The sequence below is a fragment of the Homo sapiens genome, chromosome 8 (assembly GCF_000001405.40).
Source record: "Homo sapiens chromosome 8, GRCh38.p14 Primary Assembly".
Taxonomy (NCBI): Eukaryota; Metazoa; Chordata; class Mammalia; order Primates; family Hominidae; genus Homo; species Homo sapiens.
Window position 1 is genome coordinate 23066107 of NC_000008.11, and position 17807 is coordinate 23083913.

The window sequence follows — 17807 nt, forward strand, 5'->3', positions numbered from 1 at the left end:
ACCCCGTCTCTACTAAAAATACAAAAATTAGCCAGGTGTGGTTGCAAGTGCCTGTGGTCCCAGCTACTTGGGAGGCCGAGGTGGGAGGATCACTTGAGCCCAAGAGGTTGAGGCTGCAGTGAACTCTGACTGTGCCACTGCACTCCAGCCTGGGTGACAGAGTAAGACCCTGTCTCAAAAAAGAAAAACACAAAGATGACCAGGAAATAGATGGAAGATATTAAAAATGCCAAAAGAGAACTTCTAAAGTTCAAAAAATATATATCTGATATACAGTAGATGAGATTAACAGCAGGTTAGATTCTGCAGAAGCAGATCAATGAACTTGAAGAGCCCTCACAGGGAAATGTCCAAAGTGAAACATAGAAAATGATGGGGGAAAAAAAAGAACAGATACTAAGTTAGCTCTGATACAAAATCTAACATTCTAACGTAAATATAATAAGATCTCAGTCACCAGAAGAGACAGAGTATTTGAAGAAATAATGGCTGAAAATCTTCCAAGTAGAACATAAACTCGGCTGGGCGTGGTGGCTCACCCCTGTAATCCCAGCATTTTGGGAGGCTGAGGCGGGCAGATCACGAGCCAGACCATCCTGGCTAACACGGTGAAACCCCGTCTCTACTAAAAATACAAAAAGTTCGCTGGGCGTGGTGGTGCATGCCTGTAGTCCCAGCTACACGGGATGCTGAGGCAGGAGAATGGCGTGAACCCAGGAGGCAGAGGTTGCAGTGAGCTGAGATCCCACCACTGCACTCCAGCCTAGGCGACAGAGGCAAGACTCCATCTCAAAACAAACAAACAAACAAACAAAAACATAAACTCTAAAACCCCAAATCCAAGAAATTCAACATAACTCTGTTGTGGCTTTCTTTCTTTCTTTTTTTTGAGTTGGAGTCTTGCTCTTGTCTCCCAGGCTGGAGTGCAGTGGCGCCATCTCTGCTCACTGCAACTTCTGCCTCCCAGGTTCAAGTGATTCTCCTGCCTCAACCTCCCAAGTAGCTGGGATTGCAGGTGCCCACCACCACACCCAGCTAATTTTGTATTTTTAGTAGAGACGGGGTTTCACCATGTTGGTCAGGCTGGTCTCGAATCCCTGACCTCATGTGATCTGCCCGCCTCGGCCTCCCAAAGTGCTGGGATTACAGGCATGAGCTACCAGACCCGGCTGTTGTGGCTTTCTTTACAGAAAAGTCTCCAAGGAGAACATAAACTCTAAAACCCCAAATCCAAGAAATTCAACACAACCCAGTTGTGGCTTTCTTTACAGAAAAATCTTCCAAGTAGAAAGAACATGAAAGTCTAAAGCCAAAAATCCAAAAAATTCTTTATAGAGATAAAAAAAAAACCCCACAACAGAGCAAACAAACCAAATCACTGCAAACCAGTGCTAAGAAAAATCTTTAAAAGCAGCCAGAGACCAAAGATCCACCACCCAAAGAGAGGCAAGATGCCCTGGGGACCTAGGCCCACAGAAACCACAGCAGGAGGGGGAGGCAGAGGCCCCTGTACACTCTCCTCACTAGGACAGTTAGGTCCTCCCTCCACTCAGAGGTGAGACCAAGGACATACTGTGGTGTGGGGCGGAAACAGTGAAAACATGAGGTGTGTAACAATATCCCATGAAACTCCAATGCTTCACACTGACATTCTTCTAGGTCAACACCAGCATTCTCTTGACCTTCCTTTCACTGTTCCTCCTCTCCCTTCCAGCCCCTCTGTACAGTCTTGAGTTAGGTCTAGGCCCACACACTTCCCCACTCTGAGCTGCGGTCTCTTCCTCTGTAAAATGTGATGATTCAGAACCTCTCCTGGCCCCAAGCGCAGTTCCAGGCGCTGAGCACACCATGCTGTTCCCTACAAAGCCGACTCTTTGTCCCTTCCCCATTATCACGGATACTTGCCAAGAGGTGGCAAGAAAGGCTCTTCCCAGGCCAAAATGCAGCTGCTATTATCAAGCAGGTCAGGCCCCAAGTGCCACAACTCCCTTCTCCTAAATCTCGTTTTCCCAAGGAACCCCAAACAATGGCATTGGCGATGAGCGGCCCCGCACGCGTAGGGGCGCAGCCGCTAAGGAGGGGAAGGGGCCTCTCCAGCTGCGCCCGCGACGACTCCCGCGCACGGAACGGAACCACTGGGCCGCAGCGACCACAGGGGAGTTCTTCGCCGGCCGCAGGTTCAAAGCGATCTGCAATGAGCGCCTTTAGGAATTCATTCGAAGGCGCAAAAGAAAAAGAAATTAAGGCAGGAACTGAGCGAGGAAGGAAGGGAGGGAAAGAAAGGAAGAAAGAGAAAAAGAGAAAGAAACAGAAAGTAAGGAAAGAAAACAAAATCAAAGTCCGACGACCTCTCCGTGGCTTCACGCAGCTTACTCGGGAATTCCCTCCTTGTCGCCCTCCCCCACTGGATTCGGGAATTTACACCAAGTGGAGCGCGCGCTCTGTTCCCTGGCGGCCCAGGTCGCTCCTGCCCAACCCGGGGACCCATCTCTTCCCCCGACTCCGACGACTGGTGCGTCTTGCCCGGACATGCCCGGCCGCAGGCGACCCGGGCCACGCACCCCCGCCGTGTCCCCCTCTCTCCCTGCCCTCTCCAGGCGCCAGGCACGCTCTTCCCCAGCCAGGGACCGCGGCGGGGACTCACCAACAGCAGGACCGCGGCGACAACGAGCACAAGGGTCTTGGGGACCCGGGGCCCAGGCCTGGCTCCCCGCGCCTCCCTGGGTCCTGGGCCGTGCCTTTTCCGGGCCCCCGAAGCGGCCGGGGCGTTCTGTCCCCGTTGTTCCATGGCGGTAGGGAACGCTCTTATAGTCTCTCAGGCCCGTGGGTTTCAGCCCTTAAAGTAGATCGGGCATCGTCGGTGTATTTTGTGGGCGCAGAGATTGCGGGGTTCTCCGGCCGCGTGCTGATTTATGTGTCCAGGCTGACTTGGGGCGGCGCGGCTGTACTTTCACTGCCTCCGGGCAGGCGTCATTCGGGGCGGGGCGAATCAGATCCAATGTGCAACTGCAAATTCCACCACAGGTTGGTGACAATAAATAAGAGTCTCGTCAACGCAATCCTCCGCAAGCGCGTCCAAGTGGGGAGGGGAGGGGAAGGGACCGGAACTAACCTTCGCCCTGGCGGCTGCGCCCCGGGCTGTGGTTTGTTTCTGGGTCCTGTCCGCGCCAGGACAGGCACCGAAACTTGGGGGAAATGAGTTGAGGGAGGCACTTGGGGAGTTGACGCCTCCCGGGGTCGCGCGCTTGGCTGTGAACAGGGTCTTGAGGTTCAGAGTCCGCTTTCCAGGCGCGTCTTGATCTTCTCCCCTTCCCAGGGGCACCTGCCCCTTCTGTTCTCTCCTTCTCTCTTCTTTCCTTTTTTCTTTCGTTTTCTTTCGTTCTTTCGTCTTCTTTCCGTCCTTCCTGCTTTCTCTTTCCTTCCTTTCTCTCTTTCTCTTTCCTCCCTCCCTCCCCCTCCCCCTACCTCCCTTCCTTGTGGTTTATTTTTTGAGACAGTCTCTCTGTGGCTCAGATTGGTGAGCGGTGGTGTGATCCCGGCTCACTGCAACTTCCGTCTCCCAGGTTCAAGCGATACTCCCACCTCAGCCTCCCATGTAGCTGGGACTACAGGCCTGCACCACCACGCCTGGCTAATTTTTGTATTTTTAGTAGACACAGGGGTTCACTATGTTGGCCAAAAGACCATCGAACCCAGCTTACACTCACACCTAGTCCACAAATGTGCCTGTGTCCCTGCACCCTTGCTACACTTAGCTTTCATTTGTCACTAGTCTAGGAAATAAAACATGATACATCACATTGTTATGTATTTTCATTCCTTCATGGTACTGTGTCCGGAATTGGTGGGTTCTTGGTCTCACTGCCTTCAAGAATGAAGCCTCGGACCCTCGCGGTGAGTGTTACAGTTCTTAAAGGCGGCGTGTCTGGAGTTTGTTCCTTCTGATGTTCGGATGTGTTCGGAGTTTCTTCCTTCTGGTGGGTTCGTGGTCTCACTGGCTCAGGAGTGAAGCTGCAGACCTTCCCAGTGAGTGTTACAGCTCTTAAGGCAGTGGGTCTGGAGTTGTTCTTTCCTCCTGGTGGGCTCGTGGTCTCGCTGGCTTCAAGAGTGAAGCTGCAGACCTTCAAGGTGAGTGTTACAGCTCATAAAGGCAGTGTGGACCCAAAGAGTGAGCAGTAGCAAGATTTATTGCAGAGGGAAAGAAGGAAGCTTCCACAGTGTTACCACTGCTGGCTCTGGCAGCCTGCTTTTATTCTCTTATCTGGCCCCACCCACACCCTGCTGATTGGTAGAGCGGAGTGGTCTGTTTTGACAGGGCGCTGATTGGTGGTTTACAATCCCTGAGCTAGACACAAATGTTCTCCACTTCCCCACCAGATTAGCTAGATACAGAGTGTGGACACAAAGGTTCTCCAAGGCCCCACCAGACTAGCTAGATACAGAGTGTCAATTGGTGCATTCACAAACCCTGAGCTAGACACACGGTGCTGATTGGTGTGTTTACAAAACTTGAGCTAGATACACAGTGCCAATTGGTGTATTTACAATCCCTTAGCTAAACATAAAGGTTCTCCACGTCCCCACCAGACTCAGGAGCCCAGGTGTCGTCACCCAGTGGATCCCGCACCGGGGTTGCAGGTGGAGCTGCCTGCCAGTCCCGCGCCGTGCTCCCGCGCCGTGCGCCCGCACTCCTCAGCCCTTGGGTGGTCGATGGGACTGGGCGCCCTGGAGCAGGGGGAGGTGCTCGTCGGGGAGGCTCCGGCTGCACAGGAGCCCACGGAGGGGGTGAGAGGCTCAGGCATGGCGGTCCCGAGCCCTGCCCGTCGGGAAGGCAGCTAAGGCCCGGCGAGAAATCAAGCGCAGCGCCAGTGGGCCGGCACTGCTGGGGGACCCAGTACACCCTCCGCAGCCGCTGGCCCGGGTGCTAAACCCCTCATTGCCCGGGGCCGGCAGGGCCGGCCGGCTGCTCCGAGTGCAGGGCCCGCCGAGCCCACGCCCACCCGGAACTCCAGCTGGCCCGCAAGTGCCGCGCGCGCAGCCCCGGTTCCCGCTCGCGCCTCTCCCTCCACACCTCCGTGCAAGCTGAGGGAGCGGGCTCCAGCCTTGGCCAGCCCAGAAAAGGGCTCCCACAGTGCAGCGGTGGGCTGAAGGGCTCCTCAAGTGCCGCCAAAGTGGGAGCCCAGGCAGAGGAGGCGCCGAGAGCGAGCGAGGGCTGTTGAGGACTGCCAGCAAGCTGTCACCTCTCAGTACTACGGATTTTCAAGAATACAGGAGTTTTTGGTACTGGGAGTAGATGACTGGGGGGATCCAGGCAAGACTACAGGGGAGGGCGGCAGAGAAGACTTAATTCCCAGCTGTGTACTTGGAAAACCGTGCTCAGCTGGGGCCAGTCCCTGCCAACCGCCATGCCTGTTAATGGAAATAAGGTCTCCATCCTCAGGCTGTCAGGGTGACTTCAGATGAGCCTGGAGCTGAGCTCAGTTCCGGACCCCAGGTCCTGGCTCTGTCAATGCCGGACTGGTCCAATCTCTATGCCAGGTCCTTCCAACCCCATCCCTCTCTTTATCAAAGTAGGAATCAAGAAGATCCGAAGGCTCAGGCTCTCAGGTTGTTAGAGAGTACTGAAATTGGAGGCTGTGGATGGCTGGGCCCTGCCGTGCTCCCGGTCCAGCTCTGACTCTGGTATGGCCCCAGCTCCTTCCTGTAAAATGAGGGGATAAAAATCTTCAGCAGCCCTGTGTAAACTTCTGCAGGCTCTGTTAACAGGTCTAGGAGGACAAATTGCAGGGCTGGTGTCAGTCACTCTAGACTCTGGATCCCCAGGGCACATGTCCTCCACTCAGCAGAGGCTGCACCTTCTCCTACCTGTACCTCAGTACCAGCTCCCTGAGCTTGAGGCAGAAATTTCTGAAGACTGGGGTGGAGCGCCATGCGGAGGGGCCGTAGAGGAACAGACGAGCCAGAATTCAAATGAGGACGGTGATGGCACTGCAGGGCCACAGCCTGGTTTACCTGCCACTCTTCCAATTGTCTTTCTGTTGGGCACCCAGCCGGTGCCCCAGTTTGAAGAGTGAGCAGGAAAGGTCTCAATCCGTGTGGCCACAGATGGCTGTTCACAGCCTCTACTGAGAGACCACAGTCCCAGTTCCGGTTCTCTGTCCTGCATCCAGAAGTGGCAGGGCAGCGAGGCTCTAGCTTCCAGGTTGGGGATGGGGACAGTGGAGACAGTGCCATGCCCTGAGCCTGTGCTGTTGGGCAGCTGGTGTCCTGCTCCCAGCCAGAGACTGCACATCTTCATGTAGTGGATTTTCCTAACAACCTGGGGACATGAGAGTAGGTTGTTTTCCCTGTTTTACAAGTGGCAAAACTGAGATTCAGGAGCAGTGTCTCCAGCATTTTTGGCCTCACCTTCTGTATAATAGCAGCCATATTTGCACCTCTACAGGGCTAGAGTTCTCTGAGCAGCTGCTTCTCTATTCTCTGTCCTGCACTTGGCCTCTGGGAGCTCGTATGGTTCCTCAGCAGAGTCCACAGGGCCCTCCCTGTGCTACAGCCTGGAGCCTGTCAGGCGGTGAGCTGAAGCCACGACTGCACTCACCTCATGGGTTTGCGGGGAGAATGATTCACCCAGGAAGCAGACAGTGAGCCCTTTACTCTGGGAACACCTGTGCCTGGAGTCTGCTGAAGGCAGGGAGGACAAATGAACCCCATGTGAATCCTACTCCCTGGAGCCTACAGTGTGGTGGGAGAGGTGACACCAGGGGTCATATAACTAATAGGAGGTAGCATGAGGGAGGCCTGAGATCTCACCACCCTTGCCTCCCCCTCCTCCAGAGAGGCTGTGCTGGAGGGAGGCCATGCCATTGCAAGGCCATAGGATGTGGTATTGTTTGCCTGGAAGATGTGGTTTGATTACAGCCACCATTGAGGGTCATGGAGGCAAGCTAAGCTCCCTTTAAGGGTATTTTTTTTTTGGCTGGGCCTGAGAATTAAGTTGACATAAGACAGGTCCACAGGAGAAAAGCACACAAATTAATACAATGCAAGTTTTACATGGCACAGAAAAAGCAGTGAGAGTCAGTTACTTATATACTGAATTAGACCAAGTAACTTGGGAAGAAGCAAGTAAATATGTGGAGGCTAAAAAGATGAGTTATTCTATTCTTTTTTTTTTAATATCTGCTCCTTTAAGGAATAAAAAAGACAAGCTTACCTTTTAAAATATATTTTACATATGTATACAATCTAAATTTATTTTTCTCTCTTTATCCCTGAATACTTTATTATTTTTTTTTTAATTTTTTGGAGACAGAGTCTTGCTGTGTCGCCCAGTCTGGAGTGCAGTGGCATGATCTTAGCTCACTGCAAGCTCCGCCTCCTGGGTTCACGCCATTCTCCTGCCTCAGCCTCCCAAGTAGCTGGGACTACAGGTGCCCGCCACCACACCCGGCTAAATTTTGTATTTTTAGTAGAGACAGGGTTTCACCATGTTAGCCAGGCTGGTCTCTATCTCCTGACCTTGTGATCCACCTGCCTCGGCCTCCCAAAGTGCTGGGATTACAGGCGTGAGCCACCACGCCCGGCCTACTTTATTATTTTATTTTTACTTTAAGTTCTGAAATACATGCGCAGAATGTGCAAGTTCGTTACACAAGTATACTTTTGCCAGCGATGCACCTGCTGTTTTTCAATAGCCTTTAATTCATAATAGTCAATGGGCCAGGGTAGGCAGGGTGCAATGGCTCACACCTGTAGTCCTGCCAAGGCGGGCAGATCACTTGAGCCCAGGAGTTCAAGACCAGCCTGGGAAACATAGCAAAACCCATCTCTACAAACAATAACAACAACAAAACCCACAGAAAATTAGCCTGGTGCAGTGGCCTGCACCTGTAGTCCCAGCTGTTTAGGAGGCTGATGTGGGAGGATCACCTGAGCCTGGAAGGTTGAGGCTGTAGTGAGCCGTGTTCACACCACCGCACTCCAGCCTGGGAGACAGAGTGAGACCCCGTCTCAAAAAAAAAATTCTTTTAGTAATGATTATGCTATTCAGAGTGTGCGCTGAAATACAGCACTTCCCATAAGTCAGGCTCTATTCAGATCCCTTCATACAAATTCACACATTTAATTCTGACAGCAACCTGACTGTGCCGGAACTATAATTAAGTTGGTTCTCTTACGTGAGACACAGATCAACTCAGTAACTTGCTGAAGGTCACACAGCTATTCCTGGGGTGGGGGGCTGGGGGATGGGTGAGCCAACCTCAGGGGAGCAGCACCCACTGCCCAACTGGCTTCTGCTGCCTTTCCCAAGGGAGAATTTGCTGCTCACCTCATTCTGGGTCACTGCTGGGAGGCCTCTGAGAGCTCATTTAATGCCACTTCCTGTTTTCAGGAGAGAGAAACGTGAAGTTTAGAGAGGAAGGGAAGTGACTTCCCCGGACTCCTGCAGCTCTTTAGTGGCTGGCCCTGGTCTTGTACAGGGATAAAAAGAAACTCCACAAAACTCAGAAGTAGATCCCAGGCCACAGACTGAGAGAACAAGTCTGAGTTGATGTCTGGTCTTCTGAGTGATTGCTCAGTTCAGGGTCAACTGGCAGCTTTAAGGGTGTGTGTGCCCTGCAGAGGAAAGAGGAGCCTGCTTGGCTTGAGGGAGGGTGAGGGCCACACTGGGCTTTGCAACCACCTACCTATTGCATCACCAGTGGGGGATGTGCATGACCAGGAAACCCCCAGTTAATGACTCATCTGGGGAGAAGCCTGGATCTGCAGAGCCTTGCAGGAGAGGACCTGAGCAAGCCTCCACCCTCCTCCCTTCTCATTCTCCTTCTCTCTCCACCATGCCTCTGGCATGCTGCGCTCTCTCTCTCTCTCTCTCTCTCACACACACACACTCACTCACACACACCAGGAAAAGTTCAAGTCTGACAAAATTCTATGGACTGACACAGCCACACATCTCTGGCCACACACCCCTTCTCCCTCAATCAGAGGCCCGCATCCTGCACAGCCTCGTCCCAACCTCACTTGTTTTTACTCCCCTCCCCCATTACTTTGACTTACTATTTGTCTGGGATTCTGTCTGTGTGGACTTTCCCCTCTATGTCCACTAATGTCTCTGCCACTTATGGTACTTGTCACCTCTGCCTGAGCAGCCCCTCCAGACTCTTCACAAGTTCATGGACTTTGGGGTTAATGATGGCTGTGCCTCAGCTCCTGTGAATGGAAACTGTGCTAAGGAAAGGAAGGGCCATGCTGTGTTCCCGATACTCCACGGCTCCTTGTATGTGTGGTCGCCAGACGCCTATATTTCTTCCATGAGTGAATGAATGAGTAACGTGGATTCTAGGAAGCTGCACTAATGCAGATGTTGCGTTCTCAGCCTGCTCATAGAGTGTGTTAAACGTGAGAGGTGGGGAGTGTGGCAGGCAGGCTGAGGACAGAACAGAGGATCTGAATAGCATGCAGAGGATCACCCACATCCTGAGTCACCAGGACCATTGTCAAGTTTTCACCGGAGACATCGCCCATCAGATCAGCACTTCAGAGATCATTGTTTGCCCAATGCAGAGTGGATTAGGTGGGTGACCTCAGACATGGCCTGGGCAGCATTTGGGATGGGTCCTAGTGGTTAGGGTGAGGGTCAGGTTGCATTATCCTGAAGGAGGCAAGTGGCAGCTGAGGCGGATCTGAGGGAAATGATGATGATAATGCAGGCCGGTGATGCAATAGGTTTGGTAAGAAGAGGAAAGAAGTTCAAGGTGGATTCTGGTTTTCATAATCTGATATTTGGCTGAGATCATTACCAAATAAGAAGGAGCAAATGGGCATAAAGTGGCTTTAAGAATTAGCAATGTGAATATGATTTTGGAGACGCCACGGACACTTCATTGCTAGTAGACCTGCAGGACACAAAATGCTTCAGGCAGAAGAGATCTGACACCAAATGGAAACCTGGATCTTAAGGAAGAAAGGAAGGTCACCAGAAATATAAAGTTGGGGAAAATGTAAAGGATTATTACTTCTTCTTAGTTTCTTGAAAATATGTATTATCAATGATGATAACATTGCTGTGAGGTTCGTAAAGTATGCATAGTTAAGGCTTAGGAATACTGGGTGGTGATGAATGGACACATCTTGTTGCGAGTCTCTTACACTTTACATTAATATCACACAATTAATTCAGCAACACAACTCAGCCATGAAAAGGCAGTATTACTGCACATGGCCACAGGGATGGTTTTCAAAATGATCATGTCATGTGAAGGAATCCAAGCAGAATGCATACCGTCTGATTCCACTTCTTATTAAAATGCAACTAATCTAATCTATTGTGACAAAAAGCAGAAGAATCATTGCTGGGGACATAGGAGCAAAGCAGAAGAGAGGATTACACTGAAGAATGAACACATTCTGGGGGGTGGTAGACATGTCATTATCTTATTGTGGTGATAGTTTCGTAGTGTATACATACATCTCAATCTACCAAACTACACATTTTAAAAATGTACACTTTGTTTTATATTCATTATACCTCAATAAATTCTTTTTTTTTTTTTTTGTTTGAGATGGAGTCTCACTCTGTCGCCCAGGCTGGAGTGCAGTGGCGCGATCTCGGCTCACTGCAAGCTCCGCCTCCTGGGTTCATGCCATTTTCCTGCCTCACCCTCCTGAGTAGCTGGACTACAGGCGCCCGCCACCATGCCCGGCATTTTTTTTTTTTTTGTATTTTTAGTAGAGACGGGGTTTCATCAGGTTAGCCAGGATGGTCTGGATCTCCTGACCTCGTGATCTGCCCGCCTCAGCCTCCCAAAGTGCTGGGATTACAGGCATGAGCCACCGAGCCCAGCCAATAAATTCATTTTTTAAAAAACTTCAAATAGAATACAAACACTTGAGTGTATACTGTATTCCCTATAGCACTTGCACATAGATCAGGAAATATGTATACATTAAAAGTCAGTATCCAGTTGGGTGCAGTAACTCACGCCTGTAATCCCAGCACTTTAGAAGGCTGAGGTGGGTGGATCACGAGGTCAAGAGATCAAGACTATCCTGGCCAACATGGTGAAACCCCATCTACTAAAAATACAAAAAATTAGCTGGGTGTGGTGGCACAAGCCTGTAGTCCCAGCTACTTGGGAGGCTGAGGTAGGAGAATCACTTGAACCCTGGAGGCGGCGGTTGCAGTGAGCCGAGATCATGCTACTGCACTCCAGCCTGGTAACAGAGCGAGACTCCGTCTCAAGAAAATAAAATAAAATAAAATAAGCCGGTTGCGGTGGCTCACGCCTGTAATCCCAGCACTTTGGGAGGCTGAGGAGGGCAGATCACGAGGTCAGGAGATCGAGACCATCCTGGCTAACACGGTGAAACCCCATCTCTACTAAAAATACAAAAAATTAGCCAGGCTGGTGGCGGGCAATTGTATTTCCAGCTGCTGGGGAGGCTGAGGCAGGAGAATGGCGTGAACTTGGGAGGCGGAGCTTGCAGTGAGCCGAGATCGCGCCACTGCACTCCAGCCTGGGCAACAGAGAGAGACTCCTTCTCAAAAAAAAAAAAAAAAAAAAAAAAAAAAAAAGAAAGGAAAGGCAGTATCCAATTAAAATGGAATCCTAAAAGGTAACTAACATTAAAATGTGCAGGGGAAAAAGGAGCAAAAAAATTAGACTGGACAATCATTGCTTAAATGGTAAACTTACAGGTCTATTTCAACTGTATCAATTATTGCACTAACTGTAAATCCACTGGGCACTACCGTTCAAAGGTAGAAATGGTTGGAAGGGCTGAGAAAGCAAGACTCAACTAGATCTTGTCTATACGAGATGGGACTTAAAAGGAAGACACAGATACTGTCTGTTGAAAGTAAGTGGATGGGAAAAGATACATCATGCAAATCCTAAGGCCAAGAAAACTGCCGTGGCTATCTCAGTATCAGACGTAGTTGATTTTGCTAGCAGTGGACAAGATCCGAGTTACCCTACGTTGATGGCAGCGAATCCATACGGGCCCACAGCAACTTCAGCTCTTCACCTCCTGATAAGAAAGAATTCGACTGAGGGTCATAAGGCAGAAGGAGAGATGGAGGCAAGTTTTAGAGCAATAGTGAGTTTATTAAAAAGCTTTAGAACAGGAAGGAAAGGAAAGAAAAGAAGGAAAGTACAACTTAGAAGATGGCCAAGCAGGTGACTTGAGAAGCCAAGTGTGCAGCCTGAACTTGTGACTTGGGGATTTATAGGTAGGCATACTTCCAGGATTTTGCCTTGCTTCTCCCCACTCCTGAAATCTTGTTAGGAAGTTGCTGATCAGTTTCAGTTGTTTTCTATGTATTAGGAGACTGCCTTTTTCTGGCATCGGCTGTAACCAGTTATTACTTTAGAGAAACAGTTAAAAACCACCTAACCATCACCTGATGTTCGCTCAACCCTCCTAGTGTAAGAAGCGGTGGGGAGCCCTCTCCTGCCCAGCTCATACCTGACTAGCTACACAGGGTAACAATTTTAGGACATAGAATATTATGGGAGATCAAAAAGAACCTTTGCAGTTAAAAAGGTTAATTCATCAGGGAGTATAATAATCACAAATTGTATATGCCTAGTAATACAGCTTAAAAACACTTGAAGCAAAAATGGAATGAAAATGAGATTAAATCAGCTCTTTCTCTGCAATTGATAGAACAATCAAATGAAAACACTAGCAAAGTGGCAAGCAATCTGCAAACTATCAACCACCTTGATTTAATTGACATTTATTTATTTATTTTATTTTATTTTTAGTAGAGACGGGGTTTCACCGTGTTAGCCAGGATGGTCTCCATCTCCTCACCTCGTGATCTGCCCGCCTCAGCCTCCCAAAGTGCTGGGATTACAGGCATGAGCCACCACGCCTGGCCTGGTTCTCAGCCTGAATGTTATTGGTATATAGATATGCTACCAATTTTTATACAATGATTTTGTATCCTGAAATTTTGCTGAAGTTGTTGTCAGTTCCAGTAGCCTTTTTGTGGAGTCTTTACGGTTTTCAAGGTACAGAATTATATTGTCCATTAAGATATATCTTTGACTTCTTCATTTCATATCTGGATGCCTTTTATTTCTTTCTCTTGCCTGAGTGCTCTGGCTAGGACTTCTGGTACTATGTTGAATGGGAGTGGTGAGCATGAGCATCCTTGTCTTGTTCCAGTTCTCAAGGGAAATGCTTCCAACTTTTGCCCATTCAGTATGATGTTGGCTATGGATTTGTCATAGATGGCTCTTATTATTTTAAGGCATGTTCCAATGGGAACTTTCTAATGTGTTTTAATATCCAAGAGAGCAAACACCTCTTCCGTACTTTTTCAAAATTTATTATTTTACCCAGATAAAGCTTATAATTGTAAGATTTCTTCCATTCTCCCCTTCCAAAGAAAATCAGTGGCATTTTTATCAATTTATCTTAAAACTAAAAATTAATCTAGAAATACTTAATATCTTATCAATATTCAGTATTTCCTTATCCATTTTGAAGTCAAGTATTTTATTATAACTGAGTTGTGATTTGTTTTCCTCTTCAGATAAATTTATTCCTATTTCTTTTCATGGCTGTTTGGTATTTTGTAATCGTTATAAGTTGCATAGCCTTGTAATTCTGTTTGCTAATTTATTGCATCTACTATGTTTTTAACATTCCTTCAGACATACATTTATATTTCCATATCATAGTTTCATTCTTAGGGTTGTTTGTTTCTGTTTGTTTGTTTTTGACAGAGTCTGGCTGTGTCGCCCAGGCTGGAGTGCAGTGGTGCAATCTCGGCTCACTGCAACCTCCGCCTCCTGAGTTCAAGCGATTCTCCTGCCTCAGCCTCCCGAGTAACTGGGACTACAGGCATGTGCCACCATGCCTGGCTAGTTTTTTTTTTTTTTTTTTGTATTTTTAGTAGAGACGGGGTTTCACCGTGTTAGCAAGGATGGTCTCAATCTCCTGACCTCGTGATCCACCTGCTTCGGCCTCCCAAAGTGCTGGGATTACAGGCGTGAGCCACTGTGCCTGGTCGGCCCCATTCTTAGGGTTTTTAAGTGACATTGAATATAATGATTATTGTGTCTGCCCACTTCCAAGAATCTTGCCTCATTTTTGTTTTCCATCTTGTTGCACAGGCCAGAAATTTCAGAACCATGTTCAGCTGCGCTTAGGGAAGGCAGGTGTTTGGGTCCTGATTTGATTTCCGGGGAAGGCCTCTAACATGCCACCTTTAGGAATGGTGTTCACTTTTGGTTTCATATAGAAAGAAATTCACATCATCAAGAATGCAGCCTCCTATTCTAAAGGGGTTCCAAAAATTCAGAATTGGTGTTTAATTTCACCAAATGTCTTTTCAGCCTCCATAGAGACTGATGCTTTATTTCCTTATTTAGATTGTTGATATGGTACAGTATTGATGATCAAAGAACTTTTGGAGTCTTGGAATAAATTCTTTTGTTAGATGTTTCCTGAGCGCTCTCATACATAGTCCTCTGTTGAGACTTCTGTTGGTAAAAATTCTGTAATGAAGTGATTCTCTCCTGTGAGGGTGGGTGGAAATTGATGAGATGGGGAAGAAAGGGACTTTCTGGGGTGTGGCAATGTTCTATGTCTTGATCATAGGATTATTACACAGGTGTATACAGTAGTCAAAGTTGGGCAGAACACTTATGAAGTGAGCATTTACTCCCTGTCACTTTTGTTTCAATGAGTCACCAGCACACAGAGCCCAAGAGCTATGCAGGACCAGAGGTTTGTCTCCATCTCCACAGAGACCTGAGAGGGGAAGCTCTGTAGGTCTCTTGCTGGCTGGTGATCGGGGTCAGTACTAGACTGCAGGATTCCTGACTCTGACCAGAGCATTCCCCACTGTGTGTTACAGGAACAGGCAAAAGCTGAAAGGGTCATGGGAGGAGGCTGCTGGTTCCAGTGAATGGCGCTGACCCCACTGAGAGTAAGTGTTTTGTGCCTGGAGATGTAGAAGGAATGGAGGCAATAGGGACGATGTCCTAACTGCTAGCCCCATAGCTGAGAGTGCTCTTCTGGAGCATTCCCTGCTGGAAGTAGGGGGTCCTATGCCGATCCTGTGCTGATGATCTTTGGAGCATGAAGACCCTAAATCCCTCTCTTTCCTCTTCTTCTCAGTCAACACCTTGCTGGAGGCCTCAAACACTGAAAGAAAGACATGCAAAGGAAATAATTCAGGACCAACTGGTGGGCTCCAAAAATCTCTTCTATGAGGAAGGTGAATGCAGGCTCTGCTACGTCCTGCCTGTGAAAGAATCCCTTCAGGAAACCAGAGCTTCCCTCGTTTACCTTTTCTCCTACAAAGGGAAGCAGCCTGGAAGAAAGAGTCCAGTACTTGACCCATGCCTCAACAAACTCTGCTATCAATATGGTGCAGCTTACCAAAGGTCCTAGAACTTTGTCAACGCACTTGGAGTAATTTTTATGAAATATTGTGTGTGATAAGCAAACTGTGGAAATTTATATAAGATGTTGGTGGCATAGAGTTATACGATTGTGTATTAAGGGTAGTTTTAGGATGTCATTTTTTTTTCAGTTCATCATGACAGAAGTCCTTTTCATGAGAGAAGTCACATGAGAAAAAACTTTCTTATATTGTAAGCTCCTTCTATAGTGGTATGTGCATTTAATGACATCCAACTAAAGATGGTGTAATACCACGGTGGTTTGACTTAGAGTTTTTTAACTTTATATCTGGTTTATCTGGGTATTACATGCGTTTTAAATGTGGATCTTTTCAACTTACGATGAGATTATCAAGACATAGCCCCATGCTAAGTCATGAGCATGTGGACTTATAATGGTTCAATTTAGATTTTTCGGCTTTAAGATAGGATTATTGGGGCTTACCCCCATCTTAAGTAGAGAAACATCTGTATTGTGTAATACTATATGATGTACATTTTTCTGTTTTCCTATTTTCGTGCATGTTGATGTAAGCATGGAAAAATTTTAGGAAATGTATTTATTAGGCTGTTTACATGGGCTGCCTGGTGCAAATCAGCAGTCAAAAATGACTACATACACAACTAGCAATGGGAGGAGAAATCCTCCCTCTGTGGGAGGCACTGACTACATTCCAGTTCTCCCTCCTACGCCCAGAGACTGGACCAGGGTTTGATGACTGGCAACTTCTCAAGGGGCCGGTCTGTCTTAGTTGATGATTTTAGAGGTATATAGAGGTATTTATTTACAAATAAACAAATATTTATTTATAAGTAGATGTTTACATATGCCCAGGATTTTGAAGAGCCTGGTATCTTTGGGAAGCCATGTGTCTGGTCTGTCCTGCTGGGACAGTCATGGGACTGCATCTTCGTCCTTGTCCACAGCAGATGAGGACAGTGAGAATTAGGTTAGATCTGGGACTACAAATAGCTTCTCTTTCAAGTGCCATTACAGCTGAACATTAGTGAATCTTGGGCCTTCTTTGGGCTCAGGGCAGAGCAGGTGTTTATCTGCCCCGGCATCTGCTATGGCATCAAGAGGGAAGAGTGGACGGTGCCTGGGAATGGTGTGAAATGATTGCTGACTCAGGAGTGGATGGGCCCCTCTCGCTTCTGGTGGTCTGTGACCCTGAGCCCCTGAGCTGCATTTTACGGTAAAGATTCCTGAGCTGCAGCATCTGACTCATCTCAGAAATATCAATTCTTAAACACTGTGACAACAGGACCTAGAATGGCTGACACATTAAGGCTTTGTCCTTGTGTCACGCTCTATTATTTTATTTAAAAACTTCAGTAATCATTTTAGCCTCTTTCCAGCAAACTCTTCTCCATAGCAGTCCAGTAGTGGTAGGATAAATTATGGATGTAGTCGTTCAAGGGATTTTGGTCTTTTCCATCTCAAGCCATGTGTTTTGTCTTGTTCCGGGACTGGTTTGGCTGGGACAAAGTTAGAATTGCCTGAAGATTTAGGCACATTCAGTGTTGTGTCCATGGAGTTTTAGGAGGGGGTAGCCTTTCTGGTCTTTGCACTTCCATCCTCTCCCACTTCCATCTGGCGTCCCATGCGTTGTCCCCTGCACATCTGGAAGACACAAGGTGCTGCTGCCACCTGGTCTTTGCTTTTGCAGGGCCTTCTGTGCAGGACACTTGGCCTCAAAGCCCAGAGGGAGCCAGTCCAGCCCCAGCTCCCTTGTGCCTTCCGTAGAGGCCTTCCTTGAAGATGCATCTAGAGTGTCAGCCTTATCAGTGTTTGTTAAGCTTATTCTTTTAAAGTAAGCTTCCTGACAACATGAAATTGTTGGGGTTTTCTGGAGTTGTTTGGTTTGTATGGGATTTGCTTTATCCCCAAGCCAAACAGCACATGACACACGACAGCCACTTAAGACAGTGTGTCACTCGTGGTTAGAGTCCTTTGATGTTTCTGCCCTATGGACCCTATTTGAAGACTATGTTGTAATATCAAACAATACAAGGAAGCACGTTATACAGAAAATGCTCATATGTTTATGAATTTTGACCAAAATAAATATGAAATCTTATATTAAAAGAGGTGTGTTTTTTTTTCCCCCTGTTCCCCCTCCTCCTGTGAATCAGCTCTGAGTGACAGGAGGCCAGGCTGTGTTCCTGCTAGGACTCCTTCCTGCCTTCCTCCCCTCCCTGCCTTCAGGCTTGGCCTGCTGGGGGTGTTTCCTGCATCCGAGTCCCCGGAGTTTAAAGTGCTAGGTTCCTGGGGACTGGAATTCATACCTCCTTCCCCCCTCTCTCTTCTGCCTGCCCCTCCGTCTGGGGACAGGGACACCAGTGCTGGCCTGGCTTACCCACAGCCTCTCAGGAGGG

General features: G+C 48.2%; 1 protein-coding gene and 1 pseudogene across 4 annotated transcripts in view, besides 18 other annotated features; one reads left to right on the forward strand and one right to left on the reverse strand.

Moving 5' to 3' along the window:
- The window catches only part of TNFRSF10B (TNF receptor superfamily member 10b), a 48899-nt gene extending 45974 nt beyond the window's left edge, over window positions 1–2925 (reverse strand). For all 3 annotated transcript variants that reach the window (NR_027140.2, NM_147187.3, NM_003842.5), the window contains exon 1: window positions 2645–2925. Coding sequence is in view for 2 of the 3 variants with exons in the window: in NM_147187.3 (NP_671716.2) it covers window positions 2645–2788 (144 nt within the window). In the remaining variant the exon portion in view is untranslated. The remainder of the gene's footprint in view (window positions 1–2644) is intronic.
- Window positions 304–4017: a promoter, noted in NCBI's record as "PstI promoter fragment". NCBI's record gives the evidence for it as "EXISTENCE:reporter gene assay evidence [ECO:0000049][PMID:10777207]".
- Window positions 2123–17513, forward strand: TNFRSF10B-AS1 (TNFRSF10B antisense RNA 1; annotated as a pseudogene). Its single transcript, NR_038873.1, has 3 exons — window positions 2123–2314; window positions 14879–14950; window positions 15142–17513. The product of NR_038873.1 is annotated as a TNFRSF10B antisense RNA 1 (transcript).
- Window positions 2309–2568: an enhancer, noted in NCBI's record as "active region_27104". NCBI's record gives its function as "activates an Ori minimal core promoter by ATAC-STARR-seq in GM12878 lymphoblastoid cells {active_cell/tissue: GM12878}" and the evidence as "EXISTENCE:reporter gene assay evidence [ECO:0000049][PMID:35858748]".
- Window positions 2372–2391: a protein binding site, noted in NCBI's record as "NF-kB site". NCBI's record gives the evidence for it as "EXISTENCE:protein binding evidence [ECO:0000024][PMID:15964798]".
- Window positions 2513–2538: a protein binding site, noted in NCBI's record as "p53 BS2". NCBI's record gives its function as "positive regulation of promoter activity" and the evidence as "EXISTENCE:protein binding evidence [ECO:0000024][PMID:10777207]".
- Window positions 2785–3455: a promoter, noted in NCBI's record as "pDR5/-661". NCBI's record gives the evidence for it as "EXISTENCE:reporter gene assay evidence [ECO:0000049][PMID:11696376]".
- Window positions 2910–2915: a transcriptional cis regulatory region, noted in NCBI's record as "non-canonical TATA box". NCBI's record gives its function as "may negatively regulate promoter activity" and the evidence as "EXISTENCE:site-directed mutagenesis evidence [ECO:0005528][PMID:11696376]".
- Window positions 2926–2946: a protein binding site, noted in NCBI's record as "Sp1 BS2". NCBI's record gives the evidence for it as "EXISTENCE:protein binding evidence [ECO:0000024][PMID:14561739]".
- Window positions 2959–2981: a protein binding site, noted in NCBI's record as "ATF BS-4". NCBI's record gives the evidence for it as "EXISTENCE:protein binding evidence [ECO:0000024][PMID:21927023]".
- Window positions 2972–2992: a protein binding site, noted in NCBI's record as "Sp1 BS1". NCBI's record gives the evidence for it as "EXISTENCE:protein binding evidence [ECO:0000024][PMID:14561739]".
- Window positions 3038–3061: a protein binding site, noted in NCBI's record as "ATF BS-3". NCBI's record gives the evidence for it as "EXISTENCE:protein binding evidence [ECO:0000024][PMID:21927023]".
- Window positions 3046–3067: a protein binding site, noted in NCBI's record as "CHOP site". NCBI's record gives its function as "positive regulation of promoter activity" and the evidence as "EXISTENCE:protein binding evidence [ECO:0000024][PMID:15994939]".
- Window positions 3109–3158: an enhancer, noted in NCBI's record as "active region_27105". NCBI's record gives its function as "activates an Ori minimal core promoter by ATAC-STARR-seq in GM12878 lymphoblastoid cells {active_cell/tissue: GM12878}" and the evidence as "EXISTENCE:reporter gene assay evidence [ECO:0000049][PMID:35858748]".
- Window positions 3179–3348: an enhancer, noted in NCBI's record as "active region_27106". NCBI's record gives its function as "activates an Ori minimal core promoter by ATAC-STARR-seq in GM12878 lymphoblastoid cells {active_cell/tissue: GM12878}" and the evidence as "EXISTENCE:reporter gene assay evidence [ECO:0000049][PMID:35858748]".
- Window positions 3215–3238: a protein binding site, noted in NCBI's record as "ATF BS-2". NCBI's record gives the evidence for it as "EXISTENCE:protein binding evidence [ECO:0000024][PMID:21927023]".
- Window positions 3831–4017: a mobile genetic element, noted in NCBI's record as "partial".
- Window positions 4130–4424: an enhancer, noted in NCBI's record as "tiled region #12406; HepG2 Activating DNase unmatched - State 1:Tss, and K562 Activating DNase matched - State 5:Enh". NCBI's record gives its function as "activates a minimal TATA promoter and a strong SV40 promoter by Sharpr-MPRA in HepG2 and K562 cells {active_cell/tissue: HepG2 | K562}" and the evidence as "EXISTENCE:reporter gene assay evidence [ECO:0000049][PMID:27701403]".
- Window positions 4746–5245: an enhancer, noted in NCBI's record as "H3K4me1 hESC enhancer chr8:22928365-22928864 (GRCh37/hg19 assembly coordinates)". NCBI's record gives its function as "activates a minimal SCP1, AML or CMV promoter by ChIP-STARR-seq in naive H9 embryonic stem cells {active_cell/tissue: H9 hESC(naive)}" and the evidence as "EXISTENCE:reporter gene assay evidence [ECO:0000049][PMID:30033119]".
- Window positions 8575–8834: an enhancer, noted in NCBI's record as "active region_27107". NCBI's record gives its function as "activates an Ori minimal core promoter by ATAC-STARR-seq in GM12878 lymphoblastoid cells {active_cell/tissue: GM12878}" and the evidence as "EXISTENCE:reporter gene assay evidence [ECO:0000049][PMID:35858748]".
- Window positions 17514–17807: the final 294 nt, after the last annotated feature.